This window comes from Homo sapiens, chromosome 12 (genome assembly GCF_000001405.40).
Source record: "Homo sapiens chromosome 12, GRCh38.p14 Primary Assembly".
Classification (NCBI taxonomy): Eukaryota; Metazoa; Chordata; class Mammalia; order Primates; family Hominidae; genus Homo; species Homo sapiens.
The window spans coordinates 55,696,842-55,716,029 of NC_000012.12; the positions used below are offsets into that span (position 1 = coordinate 55,696,842).

General features: G+C 51.9%; 1 protein-coding gene across 27 annotated transcripts in view, besides 1 other annotated feature; it reads right to left on the reverse strand.

Annotated features, from left to right (window-relative positions):
- ITGA7 (integrin subunit alpha 7) overlaps positions 1 to 19,188 on the reverse strand; it is a 31,833-nt gene that overhangs the window by 12,274 nt on the left and 371 nt on the right. For 2 of the 27 annotated variants that reach the window (NM_001410977.1, XM_005268841.3), the window contains exons 1-13: positions 10,636 to 11,063; positions 6,210 to 6,337; positions 6,031 to 6,110; positions 4,058 to 4,313; positions 3,421 to 3,552; positions 3,029 to 3,148; positions 1,869 to 2,076; positions 1,542 to 1,735; positions 1,097 to 1,185; positions 854 to 981; positions 610 to 705; positions 375 to 436; positions 58 to 227 (exon numbers count right to left, since the gene is read on the reverse strand). In NM_001410977.1, coding sequence (NP_001397906.1) covers positions 58 to 227; positions 375 to 436; positions 610 to 705; positions 854 to 981; positions 1,097 to 1,185; positions 1,542 to 1,735; positions 1,869 to 2,076; positions 3,029 to 3,148; positions 3,421 to 3,552; positions 4,058 to 4,313; positions 6,031 to 6,110; positions 6,210 to 6,337; positions 10,636 to 10,841 — 1,869 coding nt within the window. In that variant the 5' untranslated portion in view covers positions 10,842 to 11,063. The other 25 variants (NM_001414034.1, NM_002206.3, XM_005268844.2 and 22 more) reach the window with 24 other exon arrangements.
- Positions 10,977 to 11,186: a silencer, noted in NCBI's record as "silent region_4534". NCBI's record gives its function as "represses an Ori minimal core promoter by ATAC-STARR-seq in GM12878 lymphoblastoid cells {active_cell/tissue: GM12878}" and the evidence as "EXISTENCE:reporter gene assay evidence [ECO:0000049][PMID:35858748]".

A 19,188-nucleotide genomic window follows, 5' to 3' on the forward strand; every position in this document is an offset into this window, starting at 1 on the left:
GGGAAAAGAGATGGAGCCATGAAAATGACCCTCAGAAGCCAAGGGGTCAGTGTCCACCTGGAGCTGGAACATGGCGTCTCCACAGACTCGGTCATGCTGGTGCTTCAGCCACACGGTGCCCGAGGCCTGGTGCTTGGGTTCTTCCAGGTTACGGCTCAGGAACGTCACACGGGGAACCTGGCCCCGGAGCCTCCGGTCTGTGTCCGCATCTAACACATAGTCCAGGGCTGTGGCATGTTGGGAAAGGAGGAGCTGCTGAGCTGCAGAGCTGCTCCAGCTCACCCCATTCCAAGGGTGCTCTTCTACCACCTCGAAGTGACCCCCCTCCCTGGGAAACCCAAAAGGGCGAGCCACAGAGGGGGGACCGCACTCACCCACAGTAGGGCTATAGCTGCTGGGGACTGCAATGTAGCTGAAACAGACCCTTAGGTCCACACTGCGGGGGCAAAGGTGGCTCCTGAGCCAAACGAGGCTGATGGGCCAAGGCCCCTACCCCCACCCCATCTGTCACATCCTGTCACAGCCCCAGCCCCAAACTGGGGAGATAAAGGATCAAAGGGAGGGCAGGGGAAGCTGCCAGGGTCCAGGTGCCACCCGATCCCACCTCACCAGACCGAGTGGCCGCCAGCACAGTTGGGCTGCTCCAGGTCGATGCTTCGTGGAGCAATAGAGACCTCATGGGAGACATGGAGGATGGGTCTGGCCCTGGGATTGGGGAGTCAAGAGCACAAGAAACATGAGAACATGAGGCTGGGAAACACTCTTCAGCATTAGATTTGGCACTGAGGTCGGGGTCAGAGTCACAGGGAGGGGCTGACGGCCTCAGGGAGGGAAAAGGTTGAGAGGGGCTCACCTGAAGAGCACTGCGGTGTCAGCCAGGGAGCCCACCAGCAGGTCAGGGTATTGGTTCCCATCCATATCCAAGCTGCCTGACAGGGAGTAGCCGAAGCTCTTGATGCCCACAGCCTCGCCCTCCAGCACCTAGAGAACCAGCTGTCAGCCTCCCTCAATCCCACCTCCCGCAGGCCTCTGCCTCCCCTGATGCCTCTGCTGATTCCACCCACACCCATTCCCTCATCCCAGCGACTCCCCTCACCTGTGAAGGTTTGGCGACAACCCCCAGGCTGCTCCCATGGTAGATGAAGACTTTCCCATCACCATCAAAGGGGGCACCCACTGCAATATCTGCAGGGCACAGGGAAAAGGCAGTCACGCTGGCTGGGGGCCTTGCAGACAAGATCCAGGCCTCAACTCCCCCCAGTCACTCAGGTATGTTTTCTATTTTATTGAGAGGCTACAAAATCCCAGGCACTCTACATACATCATCTTTAATCCTCTTGGCCACTCCCTGCAGATATTACTAACGCAAAAAGGTTAGGAACTTGCCAAGGTCAGAAAGCTGGTAAATGGTACAGCTCAGACATAAGCTCAGGGACCCTCTCTCCCTGAGTCCTCAGAAGACCACACCCTGACCTCTGAGGGGCTTCCCCATCCCTCCTGTGGCCCCTCCCTCCCTGAGCCTTTCCAGTTCCCCGTCACACCTGGAAAGCCATCTTGGTTGAGGTCCCCCAGGACAGCCAGGCTGATCCCGAACATGGAGTCAGGGGAGCCGCAGAGCCGGAGAGGGGAGATCCCAGCCCAGTGACCCCCCTGGTTCAAGTACACATACACAGCACCCCCCAGCTCTTCTTGGCGCTCAAAGAAGTAGGGGGCACCCACTATCAGGTCTGGCCAGCTATGGAGAGAGGGAAACATTCAGTGTGGGTCCTCCCTGGCCAGAGGAGCCAGCAGGAGGCTAAGTGGCCTCAGCCAGACTGGGGCTACTAGACCCAGCCTCCCTCAGGTGGCACGGCCCTCTACCCACTCACCCATCACTGTTGAGGTCAGCCACAGCCAGTGAGTAGCCAAAGCCGGAGGTCAGGCGCTCCCCAGACAGCATAACCTCGGGCACCAGGCGACTGGCGCTGTCCTTGCGCAGGATGACCACAGCACCCTTGTGGTTGGCGCGGGGGGCTCCAGCCACAAAGCTCAGCTCTTCTGCACGCACCAGACCTTTCCCCGAGTCAATAGAGAAGCCTGGGGGAAGGGTGACTTACCCCTAAGTCTTCACCCCAAGACTCAGAAGCTGGGGTGTGTCACAGCTCCCCCAGCCCCTGCCCCCTCCCTACAGGTTAAGAGCCAAGTCACAGCTCCCCTGCACCCTGCCCCCTCCCCTAGGTTAAGAGCCAAAAGATAGGTCCCCCCAAGTCATCAGCACCACAGCTGGATAGCTCTTCCTCCCCACAGGGCCTGGCAGCCTCCCACACCCACCAGGCCCAGAGACAAGCTTGGCACAAAAAGTGCAGTGAGGTCAGCCTCAGGGACTGGGCAAGAGAGAGAAAGGTGATGGCTGAGAAGGCCAGGAGCCCAGGTAGGAGGCTGAGCACAGTGGCCTCACCCTGCCCACACCCAGGGAGCTAGAAGAGCTAGAGGTCCCTCTCAGGCCCGAATCCCACCCAGTGCACCTCTTTCCCCCAACTCCCTCATCCTGGCAGGGAGGGGAAGTCTTCACATGGATGAGGGGGAGACAAGGGGGAGTGAGAGAGCGCCTGCTTCACCCAAACATCTCCCAGGCCTGGTTTCCTCCTCCTCTGCAGAGGAATGCAGATGAGACAACGAGAGGGACTTACCAACAACATTAGCCCTTTCTTCAATATGTGCCCACCATCCATCCCCTCAGGGAAAGTCCCCCTAGAAGACAGGACTGTCCTTCCCAAAATATCCTCAGCCCTGGCCCTCTCATTCCACCTGAATCTTCCTCCATGGAGACCCCTGGCTCACAGCCCCAGAGGCCACCACCCTGGGGGCCTCCTCCTCTTAGGCCTGATCATTGGACCCAGCTCTTCTCTGCAATTTGGGCCCAATGTATGTCTCCCTGGGTGTGTGTTGGGGGAGGAGGAGATTATAAGGCACCAAAGGTCGAGTTCCCTGGGGAAGGAGGGGAGGCTGGGCCATGCCCCTAGAGTCCAGGAGGTGGGAGCTTACAAACCTAAGTAGCTATTGAGGGCCAAGTCTCCGGCTGGTCCTGGGAGCCGGTCAGCAGGGTCCAAAGTTTTATACACCAGCTGGTCGGGGTCTGAGCTATCAATGTTGGTCACAAAAAGCAACCCTGTGGGGGGTGGGGTGAGACACCAGGGAGGGGACATCCAGAGTAGGGGCCACAGAGTAGGGAGACAGAGCCACAGAAAGGCCAGAAAATGGTGGAAGAAGAAGAGGTGGAGAGAGAAAAAGAGACCAGAGAGATCACAGCCAGAGACAGAAAGACAGAGAGAGACAAGGTGAGAGACAGAAACAGAGACAGAAGGATGGGAGCATGGAGAGAGAGGACAAGAGAGAGGAGCAGAGGGTTAGAGCAGTTCTGGGCCGGGGAGAGGTCCCTACCAAAGTAGCTGTTGGCAGGGACCGGGATGAGGCGGGGGTCCTGCTCCTTCTCTCCCCCCGCCTCGTAGGGACCGTCGTCCAGGTGTGCCAGGTCCGCTGAGCCCTGTGCACAGAGCTCCACCCTGGCCGTGCCTGCAAGGACAGACCTGTTAGTGCCCAGGGCAGGGCGCAAGGAACACCCCTCAGGCCGGACACTGAGTTAGACAGGCACACGGGGAAGCCCTGCCTCTTCTTTCTAGCCCTCTCCCCACCCTGTCCCCAACCCAGGCTTCCTGGGGTCCCCCAGATGTGGCATCACACTCACCGAGTGTCAGCTCAGCCAGCAGCAGCGTGCGGAGACGGGAATGGCAGTGATGAGGTGTGGGCTAGTGTGTTGGAGCATGCAGGCCCCAGCTGCAGGCCCAGCGTGCACTTGGGGCCCATGCCAGCATGTTGAGGAACACTTGGCCGTGCGAGGGAAAGGAGGCACCCCCCATTCATGTGTGCACTAGCTCAATGGGGTGGAAGGCATGGCAGTGCCCTGGGGCCATACAGCAGTGCACATGTGGTCATGCTTGGCCATGTGCCATCCCCAACCCTGTCTCTGAGGTAAGAGGAGGTTTTGGTCCCCTTCTCCCCTTCCCGAGGAGTGACTCACCCTTCCAATTATAGGTTCCTGGGGCCCCAAAGAGGAGGTAGTGGCTATCAGGGGAGAAGGCGGCAGCTGTGCCCTGCTGGCAGAACCCAAATTGTTCATGGCCTTGGGGGCGTCCCTCACAGAACTTCCATTCCCCACCATCCAACTCATCCCGGATGGCCAGGTCCTGGCTGAGCACAAAGCAGCGACCAATCATATCCCGCGTCTCCAGGATCTGGTCCACTCGCTGCCTTGCCTCATATCGGTGTGCACAGGTCTGGGGGAGGAAGGGATGGGGATCATTTCACTCTGTGGGCCAGGGACCTGCTTGAGGCATGCTGCCCATATGCAGAGATTTGGCAGATACTGATACATGTGTGCTCACATGCACATGCACATGCACACATACACACACACCCCTATGCCGGCACCACTCAAGCACCATTACCCTGCCAGTGTTACACAGGTCCATGCATAACCCAGCAACCTGTCTGCACCCACTTCCTTGCCCTCAAATGGAGATCTCCTTGTTCCACATTCTGCCTGGAGCCAAAAGACACAATTAAGCCACCACATAGGATGTGTGTCTCCCTGATCATGTCACAGTCCTCCAAAATGCCAAGCTTGGCCCTGTCCCTGGACCTTTGTAAGTGTCACCATCTCATCTGCAAAGAACTTCCTGTCCGCTTCACTCTCCAAGTATTACTTTTTTTTTTTTTTTGAAGCAAGGTCTCACTCTGTCACCCAGGCTGGAGTGCAGTGGCACAATCATGGCTCACTGCAGCCTCGACCTCCAGGGCTCAAGTGATCCTCCCACCTCAGCCTCCTGTGTAGCTGGGACTACAGGCATGCACCACCATGACTGGCTAATTTGTTTTTATTTTTTATAAAGATGAGGTCCCACTATGTTGCACAGGCTAGGTATTACCTATTATTAAAGCCTGGCTCAAATCATCCCCTCTGCAGAAGTCTTCTCTCTACTCCTCCTTTGGACTTTTATAGACTGGAGACTAGACCACTCACTTAACATGAACCAGATTCTGCCCCACAGTGATCTGTATTGGTAATTGTGTATCTATGCGTGTTACTGAAAGATAGAGAGAGAGAGAGAAACAGAGAGCTCTGGTTTTTTCGTTTGTTTGTTTGGTTGGTTTTGAGACGGAACTTTGCTCTTGTCTCCCAGGCTAGGGTACAATGGTGCGATCTCAGCTCACTGCAACCTCCTCCACCCAGGTTCAAGTGATTCTCCTACCTCAGCCTCCCGAGTACCTGGGATTACAGGCGCCTGCCACCACACCTAGCTAATTTTTTTTTTTTTTTGAGACGGAGTCTCGCTCTGTCACCCAGGCTGGAGCGCAGTGGCGCGATCTCAGCTCACTGCAAGCTCCGCCTCTCCGGTTCACGCCATTCTCCTGCCTCAGCCTCTCTGAGTAGCTGGGACTACAGGCGCCCGCCACCACGCCCGGCTAATTTTTTGTGTTTTTAGTAGAGACGGGGTTTCACCATGGTCTCGATCTCCTTACCTCGTGATCCACCCACCTCGGCCTCCCAAAGTGCTGGGATTACAAGCGTGAGCCACCGCACCCGGCCACGCCCGGCTAATTTTTTTGTATTTTTAGGAGAGACAGGGTTTCGCCATGTTGGTCCGGCTGGTCTCGAACTCCTGACCTCAGGTGATCCACCTGCCTCGGCCTCCGAAAGTGCTGGGATTACAGGCATGAGCCTTCCCCTGTAGTAACTAGCACAATGCCTGATGCTTAAAAGGTTCTCAGTAAGAGTTTGACAAATGGATGGATGAATGAATGGACAGACATTTTTACATTTATAAGGACAAGGACCATGTCTCACACCTTTTTATATCTCCCTGATGTACTTGGAATCATACCATATTCCTAACTTGTGTTCTCTAAGCACACCTATGCGTATGCACACACCATAAACACACACACACACACACCCCATCCGTGCATTCAGTCATGAGAAGCAATACTCACAACAATCTTGCCCCCAGGCCCCTGGCTCCGAACACTGACTCCCAACCACTGGTTCTCCTTGCTTTCCTTTTGCATATCAGCTAGAGGCAGGACACTGGGAATTAGGGGAGGGAAGAGGAGCCCAAGTCCTCTCCTCCCCGCTCACACGCTTCCCCCACTCTGTTCATGCAGGGCCACACCTCCCTGGTCGATGTCCACTCTGTAGCAGTCAGTCTCCTCCAGGCTCAACGGGCAAGCGAAGAGGCCTCCAGTGCGATTCGCCTGCTGCCCAGGAAGAGCCAGGGCCTGGGGAGCACCCACCAGCAGCCTGCAAGATGGGGCAGGGGCAGGGACAGGGACAGGAGTTAGAGGTCAGAATGACCCAATCTCATTAGAGCTGCCCAGGCCCAACCCCTCAGTACTAAAGAGAGTGTTCAAGGACTAAAGAGAAGGGGCAAATGTCAGTTTTCTCAAACCCTGGCAAGGACAAATTAATATGCTTGGTCATGCAGTCATCACGTTGCATGTACATACTATCTGGATAAGGGATCAACATACACAGTAGATACACACACACACACACACACACACATACACGCCAACCCAAGCAGCCAGGCCAACAGTGCTGGTTTGAAAGAACTGCCTGTTCCCAGCACCTGTTCCTGAGTAGGCCTTCCCTATCCCCTCCTTGGCCCCATCCCCAAGCTCTGCCCTGCTCCCCAACCCAGTCCAGTTGAAACCCAGCCAGAAATGCCAAGAATGCTGGGAGCAAAAGTAACAGGGCCCCAGACTGGCATCAGAGTGTGGCTCAGGGACCAGCTTCAGAGGCCAGGCAAGAGGCTAGATACGGACCCACTGCCCCCTCATCAGGGACCCAGCAAAGACCCCACCTCCCAGAAGCTGTGCCAGCCCAGGATTCCATCAGTCACTCTGGCTGGCATGGAGGTAGGGACAAGTTTCTCCTTCTGCCTCCAATGCTACCCCATTCTCTTCCCGACATCCTGAATCCCCTTCCCCATCCTTCCTTCTCCCCATGTCCATGATTTCTCCTTCCCTTCCACCCCCACCCAGTCTTCTCTCCTGCCTCCCCCTCAGCCTCTTTCCCAGCTACAACTTTCTTGGCAGGACAATTTTCCATGATCACAGCCAAGCCGTCTTCCCCAGGGGAGCACAGTGCTGGGAATGGAGGCTGCCTGGGTCCCCTGGGGCTGAACCCCCAAGCCAGAGTGAAGGCGGGGGTGAGGTAAGATGACTGACACCCAGCTGGCTCCATGGGTCCTCTCTTTGCAGAAGGAGAGACTCAGAAGTGGCAGTGGGACAAACCTCAACGCCTCTCTCCCACACTCTTCTCCTCCATCTCCCTTCCTGGGGGGCAAGGCCCAAAACCATGTTAGGCAGTATTACAGACAGGCATCTGTGGGGCACTGTGCCAGCTCTGATGGGGTGGAGGGGGAGGGCAGAGAGCCATTCTTCCTTCCCACAACTCCTCCTCATCTCTTAGCAGCTGCCATCCCTTGTCAGAGCCAGTGTCAAGACAGAGAAGGGGTATAGGGAGTAGTAGAGAAGAGAAGACACATTTGGCATTCAACTACTTATTGAGAGTCTATTGTATGCCAAGCCCTGTGTCAGGCGCTGGTGAGACAAGGAAATCATATTTATTCAGCACCTACTATGACGTCAGATCCGAGGCTAGACACCAGGGATATAAGAAACTAACATTCATCACTGTCCACATATGTGCCAAGCACCAGGATAGGCAAGTCACATGCATTATGTCATTTAATCATCAGAACAATCCTATGAGATAAGGATTCTTTTCTTGTCTTTCAGATGAGAAAACTCACTCAAAGACATTAAGCAGTGATGCTGGAATTCAAATCCACATGGGCCTAACTCCAACACTTTGTCACTCCACCCAGTGACTGACCTGTCTCTAGAACACTGAGACCACCCCAGAAAGGGAAGGAGAGAGTGGGGAGATGAGGGTACCCTGGGCAGAAAAGGAAACGGGGTGATACAGCCCTGCATAAATAAATGGCAACCTTCAGGCAAGTCAGCAGTACCCCCAGCCTCCAAACATAGAAGTGGCCATCTCTCTGAGTGTCGGGGCTGTCTTTTCATCTTTGTGCTTGCCCCATAGGGAGTGTCAGAATGTGTTTACTGAACACACACATTTTGTGGACTCATAGAGATACCCAGTGTCACAGCTGGTCAGTGCATAGCTAAGCACCCAGATAAGTTATCCTTGTTCTATGTTCACATCTCCTCTGGAGGCCAAAAGTAGGGAGGAGGGGAGGGGCCCATGTGGAAGAAAGAAGCTGAGTGCATAGATATGCCCAGTCCGCTCTTGGTGGAGAAGAGACCAATCGATCCTTAGTGGAACAAGAGCACCCAGCAGCATCCTCTCTAGTCCCTCCACCTCTGGTCCAGCCACACACACTCCTTCCTGGCTTCATGCCATACGCCCTAACCACCCCAGTCTTCTGGACAGCCACAGTGTAGCCACTGCAGAGAGAAAAGCAAAAAAAAAAAAAAAAAAGTGTTGGCAGCTGGGGGGCAGAGGGACCCCCTGGGAGCTCAGCTAAGTGAAGACAAAGGAGTAGCCCACGACCACTGCACTTCTCGATTCTCCACACACTCCAGGGCCCCAGCCCAAGTCCAGCCCCTCTTTGGCCCCTCTCAATCTGGGTGGCCCTCTGGGGAGGATGCTTGGCCTGGAAGGCTGGCTCAGCCAGGGAGGCCCTCTAGCCAAGCCTTTGGATCCAGAATCTCTGTAAGGCGCTCTGTGAATCACAATACAAGAATAGCAATACTACTAACACTTCACAGCACTCACTGCGGGCTATGCACTATTCTAAGCATTTTATATATATTAAGAACTCTTAATCTGCACAACAACCCTATGTAGTAATACTATGTTTATATCCTTTTTACAGTTGAGGGAAGTAAATGAGGCTGGAACCACACAGCAAAGGTTAGACCTTAAAGTCTCATCCCAGAGCTAGACTAAAAGACATCAAAACAGGCAAGAAGTTTTTTTCATCAGTGAGTGCTAAGGCAGGCCACCTGCAACTCAAAAGCTAGGGACTGAGCAGGTGCCTGGCCTCTCACATACCCCCCGCCCCCCAGCAGCAGAGCACCCCCTGCTGGAGCAAAAGCAGGGTGAGGCAGTCAGGCCCTCTGGGAAAGGCCCCAGCTTGGCTCTGGGAGACGGAACCAGGGGCCACCTTCAGAGAGGAGGGGGAAATGACAAGAGACCAAGCTATTAAAAATAACCTAGAATTTGCCTGGAAATAGCTTAGAGAGTTCAGCATGTCCTAAAAAGGCCTCCAGTCCTCGAACTCTGACAGATGGAGAAGGAGGGAGGAAGGGAGGGAGGGAGCAAAGGTGAATGAGGAAGCAGATGGTAAACAGAAGAGGAGATGAAGTCCGTTGCTTTCTATCTCTCCCAAAGTTTTGGGGACCACCGACCCTGCTACCAGATGATAGGGATAATGGAAGAAGAAAGATTAGAGCTAGGCCCCCACTCCCCAAGCAAGTGAGGAGAAATGAGCTCTTGTCCCTGCCCCCTGCCCCCAGACCGACAGTAGAGGCAGAAGACAGTCCCAGTGGACAGCATTGATCCCAGTAATGGATACTTAATGTGGCTTAGGCACTGGTTGAAGAGAGAAAAGCCCCCTAGCAGGAGCAGGTGAGAAGCTTTCTTCACCTCTGGCCTCCCTTTTTACAATCAGACATGTAGCAAGAGCCAAGGATACAGGCAACATGACCAGTCACAGGCCCCTCACAAAAGTATATCCATCTCCCATGGGTCCTGAACTGATTAGAAAAAATTAGAATTGTCCTCCACCCCTTACTCCTCCTGGCCCTTCCCAGCTGCTGAGATTCCTGGAGTTGGAAATTTGCTAAGGAGGAGGAAGGGGAGCAGCCTGGCCAGCATCCTTCCTGGATCTCTCTCACTGCTACAGCTGCTGCGGCTACTACTACTGCTACTAGTACTTTGAGGGTTCAGTTTGCTGCCACTCTCTATCACCAAGCCACCTACTGCAGGTTGGCAGACCTGCAGATCCTCTCCCAATCTTCCCGTGGTCTTAAGCCACAGAAGTGGAAGCTCTCTCCTGGCCTTCCAGTGCCCTGCTGCCCTCATTCCATCCATGGCAATGCTCTAGCAGGAAGTTATTTCTGGAGTCTGCCCTGCATGCATCCCTCTCATGGCACCCTCAACTTCTATGTCCTTTCCATCTCCTCCCATTCTAAGCAGAGACAGACAGTCTCCCTCCCTTGGGGAATTCAGCCCTTGGAAGAAGCAGGGGAGCCAGAGGCCCTGGGGCTGGATCAAGGATGCAAGTTGGGGGAAAGGCCCAGAAGAAGGAGATGGTTCGCTGCCAAGACAAGAACCTTGCTTTCCAACTCATCCCTAAAGCAAAATACTGGTCTCAGGGCCGGGAAGTGCAGCTTCAGACGCAAGCCAGATGAGGCAAGGCTCCAGGTTGGGATGTGGGATGTCTGTGGGCAGTCTAGGTCTTGGTGGGGCTAGAAAACAGAGAAATGAGGAGGCCCACAGAGTGGGGAGGGGGACGATCTGTGGCTCGGGCATGGCGACTCTGGGCGGGTGCGGTGACTCACCAGCTCTGGGGTCGGGGCTGCAACTGCCGGTGCAGGGCCACAGAGAAGCCGAAGAGGCTGCCTGGCTCGCCCTCCTTGCGCAAGGCACCCATCACGTCCAGATTGAAGGCGACAGCCCGTGAGAAGAGCAGTTCGACGAGCAGGGAGCCAAAAAGGTAGCAAATCCCGGAGGCCCCCCAAGGGTCGCGGCTCCGAGCCCCGGCCATGGGACGATCCCTGCGCGAGCTCCCAGCGAATGCAAGGGAAATCTCGCACGCCCCAAGCCCCAGGTCCCCCCAGGCGCGTCTCTGGTCTCCAAAGTCTCGTTGGTCTTTCAGACGTCTCCCAGACGTTCGCCCCGCCAGCCCTCCCGCCCGCCCGCCGCTCCGCCACCCCGCCGCCCCAGCACCGGCTAGGACAACTACAGCAGCCGCAGCTCCGGCGCCCACTCCGGCTCCCGCCTCCTCTCCCGGGGACGCCACTCAGGCCCCGCCTCCGGCCCCGCCCCTCGCTCCCGCGGCAGGTGGAGACCCAAGCCCGTCTCCAAGGGGATGCCCAGGCTGGTGGCTGGGATGGAAACTAGCCTTGCTGACCCCCCACCACCACGCCCCCCAAGCCCAGCACCGTCTCCGGCTCCGCCCCTGCGCGGCGCTCTCCTCCCCTTCTCCCCCAACCCCATCCCCACCCCGGGAGTGGTGGAGGCGGCGCCTTGGAATGCGGAGGGAGAGAAGTACAGATAGAAAGAGAGGGGCTGAAACAGAGGAAGGAGGGTAAGAGATGAGAAGTTGGGAAGACGCTAAAAGACAACCTGGGAAGAGAGATGTGCAGATAGAGAGGAAATGAAAGGGGAGCCGTCCTGGGCCTGGGTGCAGCGTGGCATCTTAGTGCTCCCTGTTCCCCCATGGTCACATAGAGCACTCTTTCTGCTGTTGGGATCAGACCGCTGCCCTCCCCCATCCTATCCCATCCCCCGCCCCCAGCCCGGCAATGACCACAGCAGTGCTAGCCACATCGTCAGGATTCAAGGGAACAGAGAAAAAGAGGCAAGAAGAGAGAGAGAAACTCGGGAGATACGGGGAGCAAATGGAGAAATGGAAAAAGGAAAGGAATAGAGAGGAAGAAAGAAGGGCAAGAGATTAATTGACAAGGGATGGAATGAAGGGAGAAAAGAAAACGACTGGGGATGATTACAGGAAGAGGAAATTAAGCAGTGGGGAGGGGAGTGGGTGTCAAAGAAGGCAAAGATGAAAGAGACTGGACCCAAGAGGCAGAGGGATGTAAAGGGTGTCCCCAGCTACCAGACCCGTCCCAGGACTGCACATTTCCTATCCATGAAAGGGGATGGGAGGGGGCAGAGTCCTGGACTGGCTCAGCAGGACCTGGGTGGGGCTGAGATGGGATCTCCACAGGGACCCATTGGCCTGTCCCTCTTCCTCTCCCTTTCCCTCAGGCTGGGACAGAGGCAAGGGGGTGGGGGGACACTTTCCAACTCTCTGCTATTTATAACTCCGATACAGAAATGGGGCCAGAAGGAGAGACAGGAAATAATTTGGCATAATGGGAACCTCGAATGCTCCCACTTCCCCTTCCTACTCCCCTTGCTTACTGGTGTTGGTCTTGTGAATATACATCTGTCCATCTTCCCTTCTCTCTCTCACTATCTGATTTTGTCTCATCCCAAATTCTATTTTGTCATCATTCTTGTCTCTGCCACACTTGGAATCTTTCTCAGAGTATTTCTCAATGTTTCTAGTGTTGTCTCTGCCCTTCAAACACTATCATATTCTTACGATTCTTTCTTCTCTTTCCCTTTCTTAAAAGTTCCAATAAGTGTCCTACCTCCTTCCTCTTCCTGTGTTCTGTCTTTCCTACTTCATTGTTCAGGATTATACTTCTTTGAAAACAAAAAAAAAGTGGGTTCTTACTCTGCTGCCCTGGGACAGTCTTTGCCTTGGATAAGTTAACAGACATTTGGAAGTCTGGCCCTCTGTTTTCCAATACTACACCTGTGGCTATCCCCTCCAGAGCACTAACACATCTCTAAACAGGTACTATAAGGAAATACATATGCTGTCAGCAGGGCTGGCACCAGGATTCTACTTTCACCATGCCCTCCCCATCCTTTTTAATATCTCAGAGCCCCAGACAGTAGAGAAGAGCTGACATGGGAATGCAGAATTGCAAAATTAGGACAGAACTGGGACTACTGACTCCCTGCCCAGGTCCCCCCGCCCCCGACCCAGCTCAAAATGCCTTTAGAGCCCAAGCTGCCTCCTATCTGCACCTGCAGCTTCTGCCTGTCTCCATTCCCACTCCACTGGCTTCTGTGATCCAGGGCTGAAATCAGATGCCAAGAATCTGCTTCTGACCTCCTCTCTCCAAATATTTGAGAAGTCACCTCACCACCACAGGAGGAAAGATCAGGAAAGAAGAGAGAGAGAGGCCACCCAAAATTAGCCTGGCTATAAATAGAGGGGCAAAGGAGGGAGGGGAACACACAAGAGCGTGCTAGACCAGCCTAGTAAATTTAGACATGTAGATTTCTCTCAAGGAGAAATGAGACCAGAATGTTGGAGTGGAAGATAATATCGTAGGTGAAGAGGGAAATTAAGAAACTAGACGGGGCCGGGCGCGGTGGCTCACGCCTATAATCCCAGCACTTTGGGAGGCCGAAGCAGGCGGATCACCTGAGATCAGAAGTTCAAGACCAGCCGGACCAACACGGTGAAACCCTGTCTCTACTAAAAATACAAAAATTAGCCGGGTGTGGTGGCGGGTACCTGTAATCCCAGCTACTCCAGAGACTGAGGCACAAGAATCACTTAAACCCAGGAGACGGAGGTTGCAGTGAGCTGAGATGGCACCACTGCACTCCAGCCTGGGTGACAGAGACTCCACATCAGAAAAAAAGAAAAAAAAAAGAAACTAGAAGGATCCAGAGAATGCGGTAAGCTCAATATTAAAATAAATAAACTGTTAGAGAACTTCTTGTATTTCAGTCAAGAGCTTAGGAATTAGTTAAATTAAAAATTAATGCTGAGCTGGGCACAGTGGCTCATGCCTGCAATCCCAGCACTTTGAGAGGCCAAGGCAGGAGGATCACTTGAGCCCAGGAGTTGGAGACCAGCCTGGGCAACATAGGGAGACCCCCATCTCTACAAAAAATAGAAAAGTTAGCCAAATCTGTGGTCCCAGCTACTCAGGAGGCTAGGCGGGAGTGTCACTTGAGCCCAGGAGGTGAAGGCTGCAGTGAGCCATGATCTTGCCACTGCACTCCAGCCTGGGTGATAGAGTGAGACCCTGTCTCCAAACAAAAAATGCTGAAACTGTATTATTCCACTCGCATACCATTCTCAAAATGACAAAACTATAGAAATGAAGACCAGATTACTGGCTGCCAGGGGACAAGGATGGAGGGGGGTGGGGACAAACATAAAGGAATAGCACAAGGGGGTTCCTTTGTGGTGATGGGTTTTGTATCTTGATTGTGGTGGTGATTATCCAAATCTATACAAGATATAAAACTGCACAGAACTACAAACAAACAAATAAATGCATGTAAAAAATGGTGAAAACTGAGTGAGGTCTGCAGGCCAGTTAACAATACTGTACCAATATCAACTTTTTGGTTTTGATTTTATGCTACAGTTACATAAGATGTCACCATTAGGGGAAACTGAGTGAAAGGTACACAAGACTTCATGTGCTATTTTTACAACTTCCTCTGATCTATAATTATTTCAAAATAATTTCCAAGCCAGACATGGTAATCCCAGCACTTTGGGAGGGAGGGAGGTGGATCACTTGAGGTCAGGAGTTTGAGACCAGCCTGGCCAATATGACAAAAACCCATCTCTACTAAAAATACAAAAATCAGCTGGGCGTGGTGGTACACACCTGTAATCCCAGCTACTCAGGAGGCTGAGGCACAAGAATCGCTTGAACCCAGAAGGCGGAGCCTGCAGTGAGCAGAGATAGCACCACTGCACTCCAGCCTGGGGGACACAGTGAGACTCTGCCTCAAAAAAAAAAAAAAATTTAAAAATTTTGTGCTTCTAAGGATACCACTAACAAAGTAAAATGATAATCCATGGAATAGATTATCCACTCCACTCCATGGAATAGATTAATACACTGTACTTCAGCCTGGGCAACAGAGTGAGACTCTGTCTCAAAAAAAAAGAAAAAGAAAAAGAAATGTGGCTAGTATGACTGAGAAACTGAACTTTTTAAATAAATTAAATGTAAAAATGAAAGATTAATAATCTTTATAAAAATTTCCAAAATTTTAGACGTTGAGAAATGTCCAGATCCAGCCAAGATTTTAGCCCTTTAGCTTTTGTATGAGTGGAAGCTGAGGCTTTCTCCAGCTCCTTCCCTTTTCAACATCTTCTTCCCCACTTTGAGATCAGTATTTTTCAGCTCCCTCAAATCACACTTTTTGCAACTGTTGTCTCTAGCTTACAAGCAAACACTTCCAGAACACACACTTCAGGGCTAACTTCTCCCTCCACCTCATCTGGCAACAGAGCCTTGGAGCTTATGTCCCAAGGTCAGGCTTTTCCGTCCCAACATGCACACCATGAGAACTTTTTTACTTCACTCACCTCTCCAGCACTGGAATCCTTCTGCCTGCCTCTGAATTCTGGTTGTAGTCAAAGCTTGAACCATGGGAGTGGCTGGGAGGAAAAGAACATAAATGTGATTGAGGGAATTCAGTGGGGAAACAGCTTGACCGCTCCGGTCTTTGACGATCCAAAAGAAACCCTTAACACTTGAGAAGGACTGGGAGGTCACTTACCAAAGGGAGCCATTTGGACTGTCTCAAGGGCCCCCTTTCTTTGAGCACTGGCTTCAGGCCAACATTTGGAACTTAGCCACACCACCACCAACCCCCTCTCTTGAAGCCCAGCCAGATCTCCCAGTATGTGAAGCCTTGTCTACTCACTCTGTGTCCTCCCTCAGCCCTCATCCAACCCCTAACAACTCAGCAGCTTCCAGCCCTGTTTGGCCCAGCCAGTCAGTTTGGAGCTTGCTAATTAAAGCTAACTCTGAAAGAGACCTCAAAAGAAGAGGGAAATGAGTGAAGAAAGGAGTGTGGAGTTGCATTCATTCAGTCCAAGGGAAAATAATCTGAGTAGGAAATCGTAAGGAGAGGTGAGCAGAAAGAGACTTCAAATTTCAAGAGTCATTCTCCAGATAGATATGTATGCGACTTGTGTCCATCTCTACCAAGGACAAGTGAAGCTGAGCTTCAACTGCAGCAGAAACTAAGGTTAGACAGTGAACAATAAAGGCCCAGAAAAAGAACAGATGGAGGATAACCCTAGAGAGATCAGATGGGGACACTAGATACAGATACCCCATGTCCTCTGCTCAGCTCTAGGGCAAAGGAACAGCCAGTGTGTGGGAGAGAAGGGAGAGGCTAATGTCTGCAGAATCCTGGCAGTCTCTACACCGATTGTGAAAATGTCAGGCAGTTGTGCCAAGAAGGGTGAGGGTAATACAGGATGGGCCTGACACTCTCCCTGAGTTGGCCTAATCTTAACATTTAGACTCACTTTTGAGACCCCCCCAACACTAACCCCCATTAGCCCTCACCCTCTGTTTCACTTATCCCATGTCACCATTATCTTGACACTTCCAACCCATGTCCTTCTCTTCCAGGCCCCACAGCTCTGGAGGTGAGGCACCAGGCATTTCCAATCTGCCTCTATTTTGCTTGCTCACTGCAGTTGGAAGCTGGAGCCAGAGAGTGGGGAGGACAGAGCCAGGCTGCTCTGTGATGCTCTCACTCTTCCCACTTCTATTGATTAGCCCTTCTCTGGAGCAGAGCCTCTTCTCAAACACTCCTCCCCTGCCAGGATTCTCTACAGCTCATGCCCAGCAAGCTAGAGGGGCATAATGATTAGAGACAGAGAGATTCCCAGAAAAGTGCTCTGGGTCTACCCTCCTGGGGTCTCAACTGTGGTTTATGCAGTATACAGCGGTAAGACTCAGGCTCTGGAGTCAGATAGCCTGGATTTGTATCCTAGCTCTACCACTAATGAACTCTATTACTTAACTGCCTTGTACCTCAGATTCTTCATCTGCAAATTTGGGATACTCGTAATAATATTTCACAGAACTGTTCTAGGGATTAAATGAATACATACATGTAAAGTGCTTGACTATGATGAGTACTAAGAAATGTTTAGAAAGAAGATACAGTACACATATAATTTAGACACATACACACAGTATCTAACGTTTTTATTAGAATTTTTATTTTGGCACTTAAAATGTTTTGCTTTATGCTGCCACTTAAGCATTTCATGTGCTTCTCCTCACTAATCCTTTGACAGTTGCACATCTCCCAGGATTTGGGATGCTATTCTGCAAATAGTTGAATGAATCATTGATCAGTAATTCTCAAATCTTACTCAGAAAATTCAAGAATGTTTTCTTCTAATGCAATCAGCACCCATTTCTCCTCCCCCTGCAAGTAAATATAATGACGTCAACTTCAACTATGCCAATGAATCACAAAATGAGAGAATGCCAAAGCTGGAAATAGTTTTAGATATGGTTTAGCCCAGTGAGTTTCAACCCTGGATACACATTAGAATCACCAGAACAGCTTTTAAAATATACTGATAAGGCCAGGCACGGTGGCTCACACCTGTAATCCCAGCACTTTGGGAGGCCGAGGCGGGCAGATTACCTGAGGTCAGGAGTTCAAGACCAGTCTAACCAACACGGTGAAATGCCATCTCTACTAAAAATACAAAAATTAGGCCGGGCGCGGTGGCTCACGCCTGTAATCCCAGCACTTTGGGAGGCCGAGGCGGGCGGATCACGAGGTCAGGAGATCGAGACCATCCCGGCTAAAACGGTGAAACCCCGTCTCTACTAAAAATACAAAAAAAAAAAATTAGCCGGGCGTAGTGGCGGGCGCCTGTAGTCCCAGCTACTTGGGAGGCTGAGGCAGGAGAATGGCGTGAACCCGGGAGGCGGAGCTTGCAGTGAGCCGAGATCCCGCCACTGCACTCCAGCCTGGGCGACAGAGCGAGACTCCGTCTCAAAAAAAAAAATACAAAAATTAGTCAGGTGTGGTGGCACATGCCTGTAATCCCAGCTACTCAGGAGGCTGAGGCAGGAGAATCGCTTGAACCTGGGAGGTGGAGGTTGCAGTCAGCTGAGATCATGCCACTGCACTCCAGCCTAGGCGACAGAGCGAGACTCTGTCTCAAAAATAATAATAATTTTATATATACATATATACATATACATACATATATACACATATATACGTATACATACATATATACACATATATACGTATACATACATATATACATACATATATATAGTGATGTTTGGTCTTCACTCCTTAGATTCTATTTAATTAGTCTGGAATCAAGGCTTTTTTTTTTTTTTTTTTGAGACAGAGTCCCACTCTGTCGCCCAGGCTGGAGTTCAGTGGCGTGATCTCGGCTCACTGCAACCTCTGCCTCCCAGGTTCAAGCGATTCTCCTGCCTCAGGCTCCTGAGTAGCTGGGATTACAGGCTTGTGCCACTACGCCTGGCTAAATTTTGTATTTTTAGTAGATACAAGGTTTCACCATGTTGGTCAGCCTGGTCTCGAACTCCTGACCTCGTGATCCGCCCGCCTCGGCCTCCCAAAGTGCTGGGATTACGGGCGTGAGCCACCGCACCCGGCTAATCACGGCATTTTTATAAGCCTTGTGATTTCTGTGATTCTAATGTTTAGATTCTAATGCTTAGCCAGGGTTGAGAACCACCGATTTAATCCAATCCCTTCTCCTAGTTTTACTAAAGAGAAAACTATAACCTAGAATGGTGAGCAACTTGCCCAAAGTCACCCAACATGTTAGTGCAAGGTGCACCGAGAGAGATTGTACCAGTAGCAAGAATATGCTCATGATGTTTATAATTGTTCTCGCTGGAGTTAATCCCGGAAGCATTTCTTTTTAGTTCACAGAGGCCTTATATAAATTACTTTTTACTTTGGCACAGCACTTACGCTTCTGCTAACACTGAAATGGGTTCGCATTCCTGACCACAAAAGGACAGAGATGAAATTCTACATTCACACAGCCCGCCAAGTTAGCCAAGCTCCCTAGGAGGCTGTCTGAAGTGCCTAAAATGCTTCTCTACAATGATCACCCAGAGCTGAGAGACTTCAGTGGGGTAGTGAGAAGAAAGAGGGTTGGGAGAGACAGGAAAGCATCCTCTCCTTGAGGGAAGGAACTGGGAATCAACTGAGAACCAGCTAGCACTGCCAGGAGGTGAGGAGAGGGAAGGAGAATAATTTAAATGAGGCCAGGGAGCTTCTGCTCCCTCAATTAAACGGTGATAGACGGCCTGACACCACCAGCCCTCGAAGCCTGAGATCCACAGGAAATGTTAAAAACTGGCTTGGCAATATAAGTATTAGAAAATACTTCTTCCAACACTCACCAAAAACTAAGCTCCCAATAAAGAACACTTCACCTGCCCTCCGCAACCCTCTACCTCTCTTCCCCGCCAAGATCTTCACCCAAGGTCTCAAGAGGGCGGTTCCCAACCTCA